Source organism: Homo sapiens, chromosome 4 (genome assembly GCF_000001405.40).
Source record: "Homo sapiens chromosome 4, GRCh38.p14 Primary Assembly".
Lineage (NCBI taxonomy): Eukaryota > Metazoa > Chordata > Mammalia > Primates > Hominidae > Homo > Homo sapiens.
This window is the reverse complement of record NC_000004.12, coordinates 55,705,307-55,719,506: the sequence shown is the minus strand read 5'-3', so window position 1 is coordinate 55,719,506 and position 14,200 is coordinate 55,705,307. Positions and strand designations below refer to the sequence as shown.

The window sequence follows — 14,200 nt, the reverse complement described above, 5'->3', positions numbered from 1 at the left end:
TTAGCCAGGATGGTCTCGATCTCCTGACCTCATGATCTGCCCGCCTTGGCCTCCCAAAGTGCTGGGATTACAGGCATGAGCCACCGCACCCGGCCTTTTCTGTTCTCTTAGAAGCATCAGCTGCTTCTTTTTTTTTTTTTTTCTCTTGAGACACAGTCTCGCTCTGTCGCCCAGGCTGGAGTGCAGTGGCACAATCTTGGCTCACTGCAACCTCCACCTCCTGGGTTCAAGTGATTCTCATGCCTTAGCCTCCCGAGTAGCTGGGATTACAGGCATGCACCACCATGCCTGACTGACTTTTTGTATTTTTAGTAGCAATGGGGTTTTGCCATGTTGGCCAAGCTACTCTCAAACTCCTGACCTCAGGTGATCTGCCTACCTCAGCCTCCCAAAGTGCTGGGATTACAGGTGTGAGCCACCATGCCCGGCCAGCTACTTCTTTTTAATTCATTGCTTCATCACATATGTATTGAGCACCTACTCCATGGGGCTGCTGCTCTCTGCTTATGATACCACCTGTCTTGGACCCAAGGCATTTCCCTGCCTTTTTCAGAGTCACATTTTTTTTTCTTTACAGAAATAATTAAGTTATCAAAGTCACAGTTTTAATAATCATTCTATCACATGTGCTCAATGTATCAGAGATTTTCCCTGGACTAACAGTAAAGTAAGTTAGCTTAGGTTTAATTGGAATGGGGCTGTCTTACTTGATTGAACTAATGAAAATTACAAGCATTTAAAATTTGAATTACTTTAATAAGGACAAAACGGTCATTTCCTAAATTAATTATAATTTATTAACTACCTTTAAACCCTTATTAATTAAATAGGATAGTAAAGTGAAATTTAAAAAATGGATGATTTCCTGAAGGAGATGAAATAGTGATTTAAAAAATCTTTCTCTATTGGTTTAATAGACAAGCACAGCATGGTGTAATTCATCCAGGACTCAGAACAGCAGGATGATGAAAGACTCTGTATACATAGGGCATTTGGGTGATGGGAACTAGTGAGGATTATTTTCCAGAGAATGACTGTATTCTATTTTACCCTATTTCAGTAGTTATTAACTTTTCTGTGGTTGAGAACTTGACACACATAAGTCAACTGATGTTTCCTAGGTATGCCTTATATACCAGGCATTGTGCTGAGAGCTGAGAGTTTGATGAAAGCTAGGGACTCATTCCAACAGAAAAAATTAAAATGTACACATGTACATTCATTTCCATTTCTGTGTACTAACTCTCAGGGATATATAGACCCCTAAAATTCATCCATGAAGACCCCTGGGTCTGTGGATCTAATTTAAGGACCACTGCCCTATTTGAAGTTGTTCAAGCAAGGAATGATGTGTGTGTCTTAGGACTAGTCACTTAAGCCCCCTAGGCTTCCATTTCTTTGTTAAATGAGGACAGTCAGTGAAAGCCTTCTATTTCTAAGAATCTAGGGGGCTGTGAATAAGTGTTATAAGTATGCTTGCTTGTACATATCATCTGTCTCTCTGTTGCCTATATTTGTGTGGGGGCATAGAAGAGACTAGCACAAAACAGAGCATCACCAAATAGAATAGGAATCAGAGGATCATCTGGAATTTCAAAATCGTATCAACTCCTCTACAATAAGAGGCAGTGGCAATCCAGAAGGTAAATGATCCCACAGTGAATGAATGGCAGAGTCAGGGCTTGGCCCCATATTTCCTGACCCTCAGCTCACAGTGTGCATGAAAAGTTATCCTCCATTAATGCCCACAAAATGGGTTATGATGGATTAATAACTAGCTTTTTGAATTGACATCAAATCTCAGTTGTTTTCTTGTGGAATTAAGGGATTTGTCTTTAATTAGAGGTGTTACTAATGAAAATGTTTTATAAGCTTAGATCCTTCGTATAAAAGACACTTAGGAAATTCAAGGATATCTGGGAAATCTAGAAAGCATTGCTAGTGGCAGTAACTTTGGTGTTACGGGTTGAATTGTGTTTCTCCAAAATTCATATATTGCAGTCCCAGCCCCCAGCACCCCAGAACGCGACTATATTTAAAAACAGGGTCTTCACAGAGGGAATCAAGTTAAGATGAGAGCATTTGGCTGCATCCTACTCCAATACGATGGGTGTCTTAATTAAAAGGGGAAATTTGCACACAAAGACCCACACAGGGAGAGAGCCATGTGAACCTGATGGCAGGGATCAGAGTGATGCTTCTGGAAGCCAAGGAACTCCAAAGATTGCTTGCCAACTTCCAGAAGCCAGGGGAGAGGCCTGCAACAGATTTTCTCTCACAGCGGTCAGAAGAGAGATTTTCTCTCACAACCCTGCTGACACCTGGATTTTGGATGTCCAGCCTCCAGAACCCCAGATAATAAATGTCTGTTGTTTAAGCCATCCAGTTTACAATACTTTATTACAATAGCTTCGGCAAACCAGTCTACCTAGGAAGGTCACATGGCCTCTCTGGACTTGGTTTCCTTGTATGTCAAGTGAGGGATGAACCAGATAAGTAGCTTTTTTTTTTTTTTTTGAGACGGAGTCTTGCTCTGTCACCCAGGCTGGAGAGTGCAGTTGCACGATCTCTGTTCACTGCAACCTTCACCTCCTGGGTTCAAGTGATTCTCCTGCCTCAGCCTCCTGAGTAGCTGGGACTACAGGCACCTGCCACCATGCCCGGCTAATTTTTGTATTTTTAGTAAAGATGGGGTTTCACCATTTTAGCCAGGCTGGTCCCAAACTCTTGACCTCAAGTGATCTGCCCACCTTGGCCTCCCAAAGTGCTGCGATTACAGCAGATAAGTAGTTTATTGATGGTGTTCTTGGAGCCTTTCAGGGGCCTCTGTGTGAGTGTTTGTGATACAGAAAACTGGAACAAATGAAATAGTATGTATATATAGTGTATATATAGTATAGTGTGTTATATAGTATATATATTATACACATATATATTATATATACTATATTGTATTAATGTGTGTGTGTGAGTGCATGCACACGTGCATTCAGGGTTCCCCTCACATCCTCTTCTTCTGTACCAGCTGAGGCTGCTTCCGAGAAACAGGTCCTTTCTGTTTTCCAGATAGTAAAATCTGCCCAAGATACTATGTGAAAGAGCAGGTTTCACAGCAGTGTGCATGGTATGCTTCCTTCCTTTTGTATTAAAAAGTGAAATAATTTAAAAAGATGGACAATAACAACTGTTGGTGAGGAAGTGGAGAAATTGGAACACACATAAGTTGCTGGTGGGAAGGTAGAATGATGTAGCCACTTTGGAAAAGAGTCTGGCAGTTTTGCAAAATAATTACATGTAGATTTACTGTATGACCCAGCAATCCCACTCCTAGATGCATCCCAAGACAATTGAAAATACCTGTTCATACAAAAATGTGTACATGTGTGTTTGTAGCAGTATTATTCATAATAGCCAAAAGCTTCGAAACAATAAATATCTATCAATTAATGAATAGATCAAATGTGGTATATGTCTATACAATGGGGATAGTCAATCATAGAAAGGAATGAAGCACTGATACATGCTGCAACATGGATGAACCTTGAAAACATTGTGCTAAGTGAAAGAAGCCAGTCACAAAGGCCACCTACTGTATGATTCAATTTACATGAAATGTCCAGAATAGACAAATCTACAGAGACAGGAGTAGATTAATGATTGCTTAGGGATAGTGGGTTGGGGGAACTGGGGGCAGGGGGGTGATAGCTAAGGGGCATTTATTTTTGGAGTGATGAAAATGTTCTTTAATTAGTGATGATGGCTGTACATCTTTATGAATATAATAAAAACCACTTAATTGTACACTTTAAAAGAGTGAATTTTATGGTATATTATGTTTCAATTTTTAAAACCTGGGAAGAGAATAAAATTTGTTTAGAAAGAGGGACAAATAATTCATTATTTTCTTTATTATGCATGAAGAAACTCTGTAAGAAGACATAACACACTGATCAGTGGTTACCTGGATTGGGAGGGGCTTCTGAGACACTCATAACTGAGCAGATGGGGGACAAGTGAAAAAGAGGGACTTAAAAAGAAATGTAAAATTTAAAATTATACCTTTTAATATTTTATGATTGAAATTTGAACCATGTGGCTACATTTAAAAAAAATAAAATTATATAAAACTATGTACATTGTATTAGAATTTTTTTATTATTATTTTTTGTTGAGATAGGGTCTCTGTCACCCCGGCTGGAGCGCAGTGGCGTAATCTTGGCTCACTGCGACCTCCACCTCCTGGGCTCAAGCAATCCTCCCTGCCCCAGCCCCACAGGTACACACCACCATGCCTGGCTAATTTTTGTATTTTTTTGTAGAGACGGGGTTTTGCCATGTTGCCCAGGCTGGTCTTGAACTCCTGAGATCAAGTGATCTACCCACCTTGGCCACTCAAAGTGCTAAGATTACAGGCGTGAGCCACCGTGCCCGGCCAAGAGTTTTATTATAGTTAGTTTGGTAGTATAGAAGTTTGACCCCCCAGCTATGAGAGCTTGAAGACACATATTTAATTTTTGTCTTTAGGACATTGGGTTAATTTATCATTAGGACACATATTGTTGGATTCCTTTTCTTATGATTCTTGATTACCCATGCTAGACAATCCTTTCTTTATTTTGGTACAATTCTTATTTTTTTTTCTAGAACTATTTGGTGTCCTTGTTCTCTGCATATGTTCTTCTCTTATTAAATAGAAACAAGTATACATCTTATATATATAACTCCAGGGTTTATTATTTTCTACTTTTTTCATAATATCAACTACTAAGACTTTCTATTGCATCTCCTGGGAAGTGCTATAGAAACTAACATAGGCCTTTATTTGAAAAAAAAAAAAAAAAAAGAAAGGATCTTGAAACTTAAAAGAAAATATATGAAAAAAACCCCACCAGACTACATGGTATTTAAAGTCTATACCATCTCTTAAGATGTTATGATTTTATGATTCACTGGCTCAGGATAATCTAGGGACAGATCCAGGTTTTGTGGAACATGAACCTTATATAATTTAGAGATCACTTTTTAAGAAAAGGAATTTTGGAACCCATTTTCTCTGGAATTTCCACACTGCAAGATGTGTCAGATATGCCAAGAGATGATCAGATATGTTGAGATCACAGATATCCAAGTTTGCTTACAAAAACACTGTTTGTAGTGTCACTGTAAATTTGTACCCTCCATTCATAGGAATTCTGAACATTTTTATTTTAGGATTCCTACTTTAAAAAATACAATGTGTTTACATTTGAATACATTGCAATATCAAGCATGTCTCTGACAAAATAGAACTTCCATTTTGAATAGCAGAAAATGAGATAAAATCTTCAACTTACGATTTTACCTATCTGATAATTGAAAGAATTCTTCATAGACTAGCATCTGGCTCTGTTTATTTCAAAGTTCTGTTTGTCTCCACATTCATTACACAATATAGCCCATGCCCTTAATCTTTGAATTATGATACCAGATGAGTCCCAGAGTGGGCACTTGCACTATTCATCGAGGAAATTTTATCCTGGGAGGCCAGTAGTAACCTAACTACACAGAGAATTGACTGATGACTGAATCAATAGATCCCACTAAATTCAGGCTGAATGTCTCCAGTTCAACTTCCCCTAAGGTGGATCTTCAAAATACCTCTGGTCACACCAAGGCCACCCAACAAAATGGAAAATGTGATAAAGGAAAAGTAGTAGTGGAAAGGGAAAGCTCTTTTTTTTTTTATTACACTTTAAGTTTTAGGGTACATGTGCACAACGTGCAGGTTTGTTACATAAGTATACATGTGCCATGTTGGTGTGCTGCACCCATTAACTCGTCATTTACATTAGGTATATCTCCTAATGCTATCCCTCCCCCCTCCCCCCACCCCACAACAGTCCCCGGTGTGTGATGTTCCCCTTCCTGTGTCCATGTGTTCTCACTGTTCAATTCCCACCTATGAGTAAGAACATGCGGTGTTTGGTTTTTTGTCCTTGCGATAGTTTGCTGAGAATGATGGTTTCCAGCTTCATCCATGTCCCTACAAAGGACATGAACTCATCCTTTTTTATGGCTGCATAGTATTCCATGGTGTATATGTGCCACATTTTCTTAATCCAGTCTATCATTGTTGGACATTTGGGTTGGTTCCAAGTCTTTGCTATTGGGAATAGTGCCGCAATAAACATACGTGTGCATGTGTCTTTATAGCAGCATGATTTATAGTCCTTTGGGTATATACCCAGTAATGGGATGGCTGGGTCAAATGGTATTTCTAGTTCTAGATCCCTGAGGAATCGCCACACTGACTTACACAATGGTTGAACTAGTTTACACTTCCACCAACAGTGTAAAACTGTTCCTATTTCTCCACATCCTCTCCAGCACCTGTTGTTTCCTGACTTTTTAATGATCTCCATTCTAACTGGTGTGAGATGGTATCTCATTGTGGTTTTGATTTGCATTTCTCTGATGGGCAGTGATGATGAGCATTTTTTCATGTGTTTTTTGGCTGCATAAATGTCTTCTTTTGAGAAGTGTCTGTTCACATCCTTCGCCCACTTGTTGATGGGGCTGTTTGTTTTTCTCTTGTAAATTTGTTTGAGTTCATTGTAGATTCTGGATATTAGCCCTGTGTCAGATGAGCATATTGCAAAAATTTTCTCCCATGTTGTAGGTTGCCTGTTCACTCTGATGGTAGTTTCTTTTGCTGTGCAGAAGCTCTTTAGTTTAATTAGATCCCATTTGTCTATTTTGGCTTTTGTTGCCATTGCTTTTGGTGTTTAGTCATGAAGTTCTTGCCCATGCCTGTGTCCTGAATGGTATTGCCTAGGTTTTCTTCTAGGGTTTTTATGGTTTTAGGTCTAACATTTAAGTCTTTAATCCATCTTCAATTAATTTTTGTATAAGGTGTAAGGAAGGGATCCAGTTTCAGCTTTCTACATACGGCTAGCCAGTTTTCCCAGCACCATTTATTAAATAGGGAATCCTTTCCCTGTTGCTTGTTTTTCTCAGGTTTGTCAAAGATCAGATATTTGTAGATGTGTGGCATTATTTCTGAGGGCTCTGTTCTGTTCCATTGGTCTATATCTCTGTTTTGGTACCAGTACCATGCTATTTTGGTTCCTGTAGCCATGTAGTATAGTTTGAAGTCAGGTAGTGTGATGGCTCCAGCTTTGTTTTTTTGGCTTAGGATTGACTTGGCAATGTGGGCTCTTTTTTGGTTCCATATGAACTTTAAAGTAGTTTTTTCCAATTCTGTGAAAAAAGTCATTGGTAGCTTGATGGGGATGGCATTGAATCTACAAATTACCTTGGGGAGTATGGCCTTTTCATGATATTGATTCTTCCTACCCATGAGCATGGAATGTTCTTCCATTTGTTTATATCCTCTTTTATTTCATTGAGCAGTGGTTTGTAGTTCTCCTTGAAGAGGTCCTTCACATCCCTTGTCAGTTGGATTCCTAGGTATTTTATTCTCTTTGAAGCAATTGTGAATGGGAGTTCACTCATGATTTGGCTCTCTGTTTGTCTGTTATTGGTGAATAAGAATGCTTGTGATTTTTGTACATTGATTTTGTATCCTGAGACTTTGCTGAAGTTGCCTATCAGCTTAAGGAGATTTTGGGCTGAGACAATGGGGTTTTCTAAATATACAATCATGTCATCTGCAAACAGGGACAATTTGACTTCCTCTTTTCCTAATTGAATACCCTTTATTTCCTTCTCCTGCCTGATTGCCCTGGCCAGAACTTCCAACACTATGTTGAATAGGAGTGGTGAGAGAGGGCATCGCTGTCTTGTGCCAGTTTTCAAAGGGAATGCTTCCAGTTTTTACCCATTCAGTATGATATTGGCTGTGGGTTTGTCATAAATAGCTCTTATTATTTTGAGATATGTCCCATCAATACCTAATTTATTGAGAATTTTTAGCATGAAAGGCTGTTGAATTTTGTCAAAGGCCTTTTCTGCATCTATTGAGATAATCATGTTGTTTTTGTCGTTGGTTCTGTTTATATGCTGGATTATGTTTATTGATTTGCATATGTTGAACCAGCCTTACATCCCAGGGATGAAGCCCACTTGATCATGGTGGATAAGCTTTTTGATGTGCTGCTGGATTCAGTTTGCCAGTATTTTATTGAGGATTTTTGCTTCGATGTTCATCAGGGATATTGGTCTAAAATTTTCTTTTTTTGTTGTGTCTCTGCCAGCCTTTGGTATCAGGATGATGCTGGCCTCATAAAATGAGTTAGGGAGGATTCCCTCTTTTTCTGTTGATTGGAATAGTTTCAGAAGGAATGGTACCAACTCCTCCTTGTACCTCTGGTAGAATTCGGCTGTGAATCCGTCTGGTCCTGGACTTTTTTTGGTTGGTAAGCTATTAATTATTGCCTCAATTTCAGAGCCTGTTATTGGTCTATTAAGAGATTCAACTTTTTCCTGGTTTAGTCTTGGGAGGGTGTATGTGTTGAGGAATTTATCCATTTCTTCTAGATTTTCTAGTTTATTTGCGTGGAGGTGTTTATAGTATTCTCTGGTGGTAGTTTGTATTTCTGTGGGATCAGTGGTGATATCCCCTTTATCATTTTTTATTGCATCTGTTTGATTCTTCTCTCTTTTCTTCTTTATTAGTCTTGCTAGCGGTCTATCAATTTTGTTGATCTTTTCAAAAAACCAGCTCCTGGATTCATTGATTTTTTGAAGGGTTTTTTGTGTCTCTATCTCCTTCAATTCTGCTCTGATCTTAGTTATTTCTTGCCTTCTGCTAGCTTTTGAATGTGTTTGCTCTTGCTTCTCTAGTTCTTTTAATTGTGATGTTAGGGTGTCAATTTTAGATCTTTCCTGCTTTCTCTTGTGGGCATTTAGTGCTATAAATTTCCCTCTACACACTGCTTTAAATGTGTCCCAGAGATTCTGATATGTCATGTCTTTGTTCTCGTTGGTTTCAAAGAACATCTTGATTTCTGCCTTCATTTCGTTATGTACCCAGTACTCATTCAGGAGCAGGTTGTTCAGTTTCCATGTAGTTGAGTGGTTTTGAGTGAGTTTCTTAATCCTGAGTTCTAGTTTGATTGCACTGTGGTCTGAGAGACAGTTTGTTATAATTTTTGTTCTTTTGCATTTGCTGAGGAGTGCTTTACTTCCAACTATGTGGTCAATTTTGGAATACGTGTGGTGCGGTGCTGAGAAGAATGTACAGTTCATTGATTTGTGGTGGAGAGTTCTGTAGATGTCTATTAGGTCCGCTAGGTGAGGACCTAGTTCAATTCCTGGATATCCTTGTTGACTTTCTGTCTCGTTGATCTGTCTAATGTTGGCAGTGGGTTGTTAAAGTCTCCCATTATTATTGTGTGGGAGTCTAAGTCTCTTTGTAGATCACTCAGGACTTGCTTTATGAATCTGGGTGCTCCTGTATTGGGTGCATATATATTTAGGATAGTTAGCTTTTCTTGTTGAATTGATCCCTTTACCATTATGTAATGGCCTTGTCTCTTTTGATCTTTGTTGGTTTAAAGTCTGTTTTATCAGAGACTAGGATTGCAACCCCTGCCTTTGTTTTCCATTTGCTTGGTAGATCTTCCTCCATCCCTTTATTTTGAGCTTATGTGTGTCTCTGCACGCGAGATGGGTTTCCTGAATACAGCACACTGGTGGGTCTTGACTGTTTATCCAATTTGCCAGTCTGTGTCTTTTAATTGGAGCATTTAGCCGATTTAAATTTCAGGTTAATATTGTTATGTGTGAATTTGATCCTGTCATTATGATGTTAGCTGGTTATTTTGCTCGTTAGTTGATGCAGTTTCTTCCTAGCCTCGATGGTCTTTACAATTTGGCATGTTTTTGCAGCGGCTGGTACCAGCTGTTCCTTTCCATGTTTAGTGCTTCCTTCAGGAGCTCTTGTAGGGCAGGCCTGGTGGTGACAAAATCTCTCAGCATTTGCTTATCTGTAAAGTATTTTATTTCTCCTTCACTTATGAAGCTTAGTTTGGCTGGATATGAAATTCTGGGTTGAAAATTCTTTTCTTTAAAAATGTTGAATATTCTTAAAGAAATGCTCTCCTGGCTTGTAGAGTTTCTGCCAAGAGATCAGCTGTTAATCTGATGGGCTTCCCTTTGTGGGTAACCTGACCTTTCTCTCTGGCTGCCCTTAACATTTTTTCCTTCATTTCAACTTTGGTGAATCTGACAATTATGTGTCTTGGAGTTGCTCTTCTCAAGGAGTATCTTTGTGGCATTCTCTGTATTTCCTGAATTTGAACATTGGCCTGCTTTGCTAGATTGGGGAAGTTCTCCTGGATAATATCCTGCAGAGTGTTTTCCAACTTGGTTCCATTCTCCCCATCACTTTGAGGCACACTGGTCAGACGTAGATTTGGTCTTTTCACATAGTCCCATATTTCTTGGAGGCTTTGTTCGTTTCTTTTTATTCTTTTTTCTCTAAACTTCTCTTCTTGCTTCATTTCATTCATTTCATCTTCCATCACTGATACCCTTTCTTCCAGTTGATCGAATCGGCTACTGATGCTTGTGCATTCGTCACGTAGTTCTCATGCCGTGGTTTTCAGCTCCATCAGGTCCTTTAAGGACTTCTCTGCACTGGTTATTTTAGTTAGCCATTCGTCTAATCTTTTTTCAAGGTTTTTAACTTCTTTGCGATGGGTTCAAACTTCCACCTTTAGTTCGGAGAAGTTTGATCATCTGAAGCCTTCTTCTCTCAACTCATCAAAGTCATTCTCTGCCCAGCTTTGTTCCATTGCTGGTGAGGAGCTGCATTCGTTTGGAGGAGGAGAGGCGCTCTGATTTTTAGAATTTTAAGTTTTCCTGTTCTGTTTTATCCCCATCTTTTTGGTTTTATCTACCTTTGGTCTTTGATGATGGTGATGTACAGATGGGGTTTTGGTGTAGATGTCCTTTCTGCTTGTCAGTTTTCCTTCTAACAGTCAGGACCCTCAGCTGCAGGTGTGTTGGAGTTTGCCAGAGGTCCACTCCAGACCCTGTTTGCCTGGGTATCAGCAGCGGAGGCTGCAGAACAGCAAATATTGCTGAACAGCAAATGTTGCTGTCTGATCGATCCTCTGGAGGTTTCATCTCAGAGGGGTACCTGGCCGTGTGAGGTGTCAGTCTGCCCCTACTGGGAGGTGCCTCCCAGTTAGGCTACTCAGGGGTCAGGGACCCACTTGAGGAGGCAGTCTGTCCGTTCTCAGATCTCAAGCTGCATGCTGGGAGAACCACTACTCTCTTCAAAGCTATCAGACAGGGACATTTAAGTCTGCAGAGGTTTCTGCTGCCTTTTGTTTGTCTGTGCCCTGCCCGCAGAGGTGGAGTCTAAAGAGGCAGGCAGGCCTCCTTGAGCTGCGGTGGGCTCCACCCAGTTCGAGCTTCCTGGCTGCTTTGTTTACCTACTCAAGCCTCGGCAATGGCGGGTGCCCCTCCCCCAGCCTCGCTGCCGCCTTGCAGTTTGATCTCAGACTGCTGTGCTAGCAATGAGCCAGGCTCAGTGGGCGTAGGACCCTCCGAGCCAGGCGCAGGATATAGTCTCCTGGTGTGCTGTTTGCTAAGACCGTTGGAAAAGCGCAGTATTAGGGTGGGAGTGACCTGATTTTCCAGGTGCTGTCTGTCACCCCTTTCCTTGACTAGGAAAGGGAATTCCCTGACCCCTTTTGCTTCCCGGGTGAGGTGATGCCTCACCCTGCTTCGGGTCACGCTCAGTGTGCTGCACCCACTGTCCTGCACCCACTGTCCAACAATCCCCAGTGAGATGAAACTGGTACATCAGTTGGAAATGCAGAAATCATCCGTCTTCTGTGTCACTCATGCTGGGAGCTATAGACTGGAGCTGTTCCTTCCTATTCAGCCATCTTGGAACTGCCCCCCGGGAAAGCTCTTAAACAATTGTAGTTAAAATGTCTTACATTTTCAAATTTGACAAAAAATATATGTTTTTGTGACTCTGTTGCTGGAACTCCTCTTAGACCTTGCAAGGGGCCTGTGCAAATGAGGGACTCTAAAGTTTAAGATTCATTGTTTCTTGGTAAATCTGCCTCTATTTATTACTTAAATTTAGAGGTGTAAATAGAAGCATGATATACATATAGTTAAATAATCACTCCCTGCTGAAAGCATGAGATAATATTTAAATTTTAGAGTATAGTAGATTAGGTACTGATGCATGTGCACATCCTGTATGTGTTATAGAAAACATGTAATTCTTCAGTCCTTGGCACGTATTAGACAAAAATGTTTTAGGAATGAATATCTGCATGAGTAAATATTTAAATAAGTATTGATTGAGACTGTTATGAAAAACTAACATATAAGTAACTTATCTCTATCACTCACTAAATCTCACCATTGGAAATGTTGAGAGTCATGTGATAATGTGATATGAAAGGTTACATTTATTAAGTGATGCTATGTGCTAGACTATCTAAGAAAATATAACTTTTTGTTTAATTTATTTAAGATATAAATGTAGTCCATGGTTTTTTAAAAAAAACTGAAAGATAACATTCAATCCAACAAATCCACATTTACATTTCAAGTTATATCACTAAATATATCACTAAATATAAGTGACCTCTTTTAAATTTATATATTTCTGAAATCTTTTTAATATTTCATCTATAATAAGGGCTATTTTTTCCTTTATGTAGCAACACAGACTCTCACTGATGCCAACAATATTTGAGTTAAAGCTGTGGTTCCCACATTAAATAATTCTACCACATTTCATATTGGGTATTTTTAGAAAAAAATTTCCAGTGACTATTTTAGTAGAAAAATAGTAATTTTTTTCCAGTAACTATTTGCCCTAATCTGAAAAATATTTCTGGCATCCACAGTTACATATTTGGACAGTCATGTGAATCTAATATAAACAAAGATACTCTTGAGTACTAAGAGAATATACCAAGGAAAGTGAGATAAAGTAATTATTTTAGAGGAACTTATTGACTTTAATTCAAATGCATAAAATGAAAATCGTTTTAGGACAATTCAAATAGTTTTTGTAATCATATTTTAAGAACATGATTATCACTATAAATTATTGGAGAATATGATTAGCAATGTTATAGTGTATTGAACATTCTAAGTTTGATATTTTCATCATGATGAGGTGCATCAAGACAGAAATTTGGGATTCTGAGGAATGATTTCTTGGGTAGCTGAATTAGATTAACTGACATTTTTAAATTGATAAAAATAATTCATCTTATTTGCGCATCCTAAATGTACACTAATGTTTATATGTGACTCAGATTTTATTCCACTTAATTAAATAAAAATATTTATGCAAAGCACTAAGAACATTGCCTGGCACAAAGAAAAAATGTTAGTATGTAAGTGCAACCCCCTACCTCCTAATTAAATTTAATAAGGATGTTAGTTACATAATCTTGTACCCAAAGTTATGCTAGACTGTCTAATCAAGAAAGATATCTTTTTGTTTTATTTATTTAAGATATAAATGTAGTCCATGTTTTTTTTTTTTTTTAAATAACTGAAAAATAACAATCCAAGAAATACAACATTTACATTTCAGGGCCAGGTGTGGTGGCTCACGCCTGTAATCCCAGCACTTTGGGAGGCTGAGGCGGGCTGATCATGAGGTCAGGAGATCAAGACCATCCTGGCTAACATGGTGAAACCCCATCTCTACTAAAAATACAAAAAAAAAAAAAAATTAGCCATGTGCGGTGGTGGGCACCTGCAGTCCCAGCTACTGAGGAGGCTGAGGCAGGAGAATGGTGTGAACCCGGGAGGCAGAGCTTGCAGGGAGCCAAGATTGCACCACTGCACTCCAGCCTGGGTGACAGAGCGAGACTCCATCTCAAAAAAACAAACAAACAAACAAACAAACAAAAACAAAAACAAAAAACAGAAATGCAACATTTACATTTCAAGTTATAACAGACAGTAATAATAAAATATTATGACATTGTCTCTACCCTTGAGAAGTTTATGGCTTTGCTGCCACAATTTGGGAATAAACCCATATGTAAATAAATGCTTTGTTGGCTTACATAAATGGTAGGTAGGTAGCTATTTAGAGAAAGACAGTAATATAACCCAGAGTGATCAGATAGAATGTGAACTGGATCTTAATGAATGAAAAGGGTTTGGATAGGCAATGAAGAAAGAGCTTCTTGGGAAAGTAAATTTTTTTTTCATTCATAAGGAGAGCAAGTTTGAATCAAAGTTTAATTTGATTATT

At 38.9% G+C, this 14,200-nt stretch overlaps 2 annotated features.

Moving 5' to 3' along the window:
• Positions 10,958–11,457: an enhancer, noted in NCBI's record as "H3K27ac hESC enhancer chr4:56574217-56574716 (GRCh37/hg19 assembly coordinates)". NCBI's record gives its function as "activates a minimal SCP1, AML or CMV promoter by ChIP-STARR-seq in primed H9 embryonic stem cells {active_cell/tissue: H9 hESC(primed)}" and the evidence as "EXISTENCE:reporter gene assay evidence [ECO:0000049][PMID:30033119]".
• Positions 11,458–11,959: an enhancer, noted in NCBI's record as "H3K27ac hESC enhancer chr4:56573715-56574216 (GRCh37/hg19 assembly coordinates)". NCBI's record gives its function as "activates a minimal SCP1, AML or CMV promoter by ChIP-STARR-seq in primed H9 embryonic stem cells {active_cell/tissue: H9 hESC(primed)}" and the evidence as "EXISTENCE:reporter gene assay evidence [ECO:0000049][PMID:30033119]".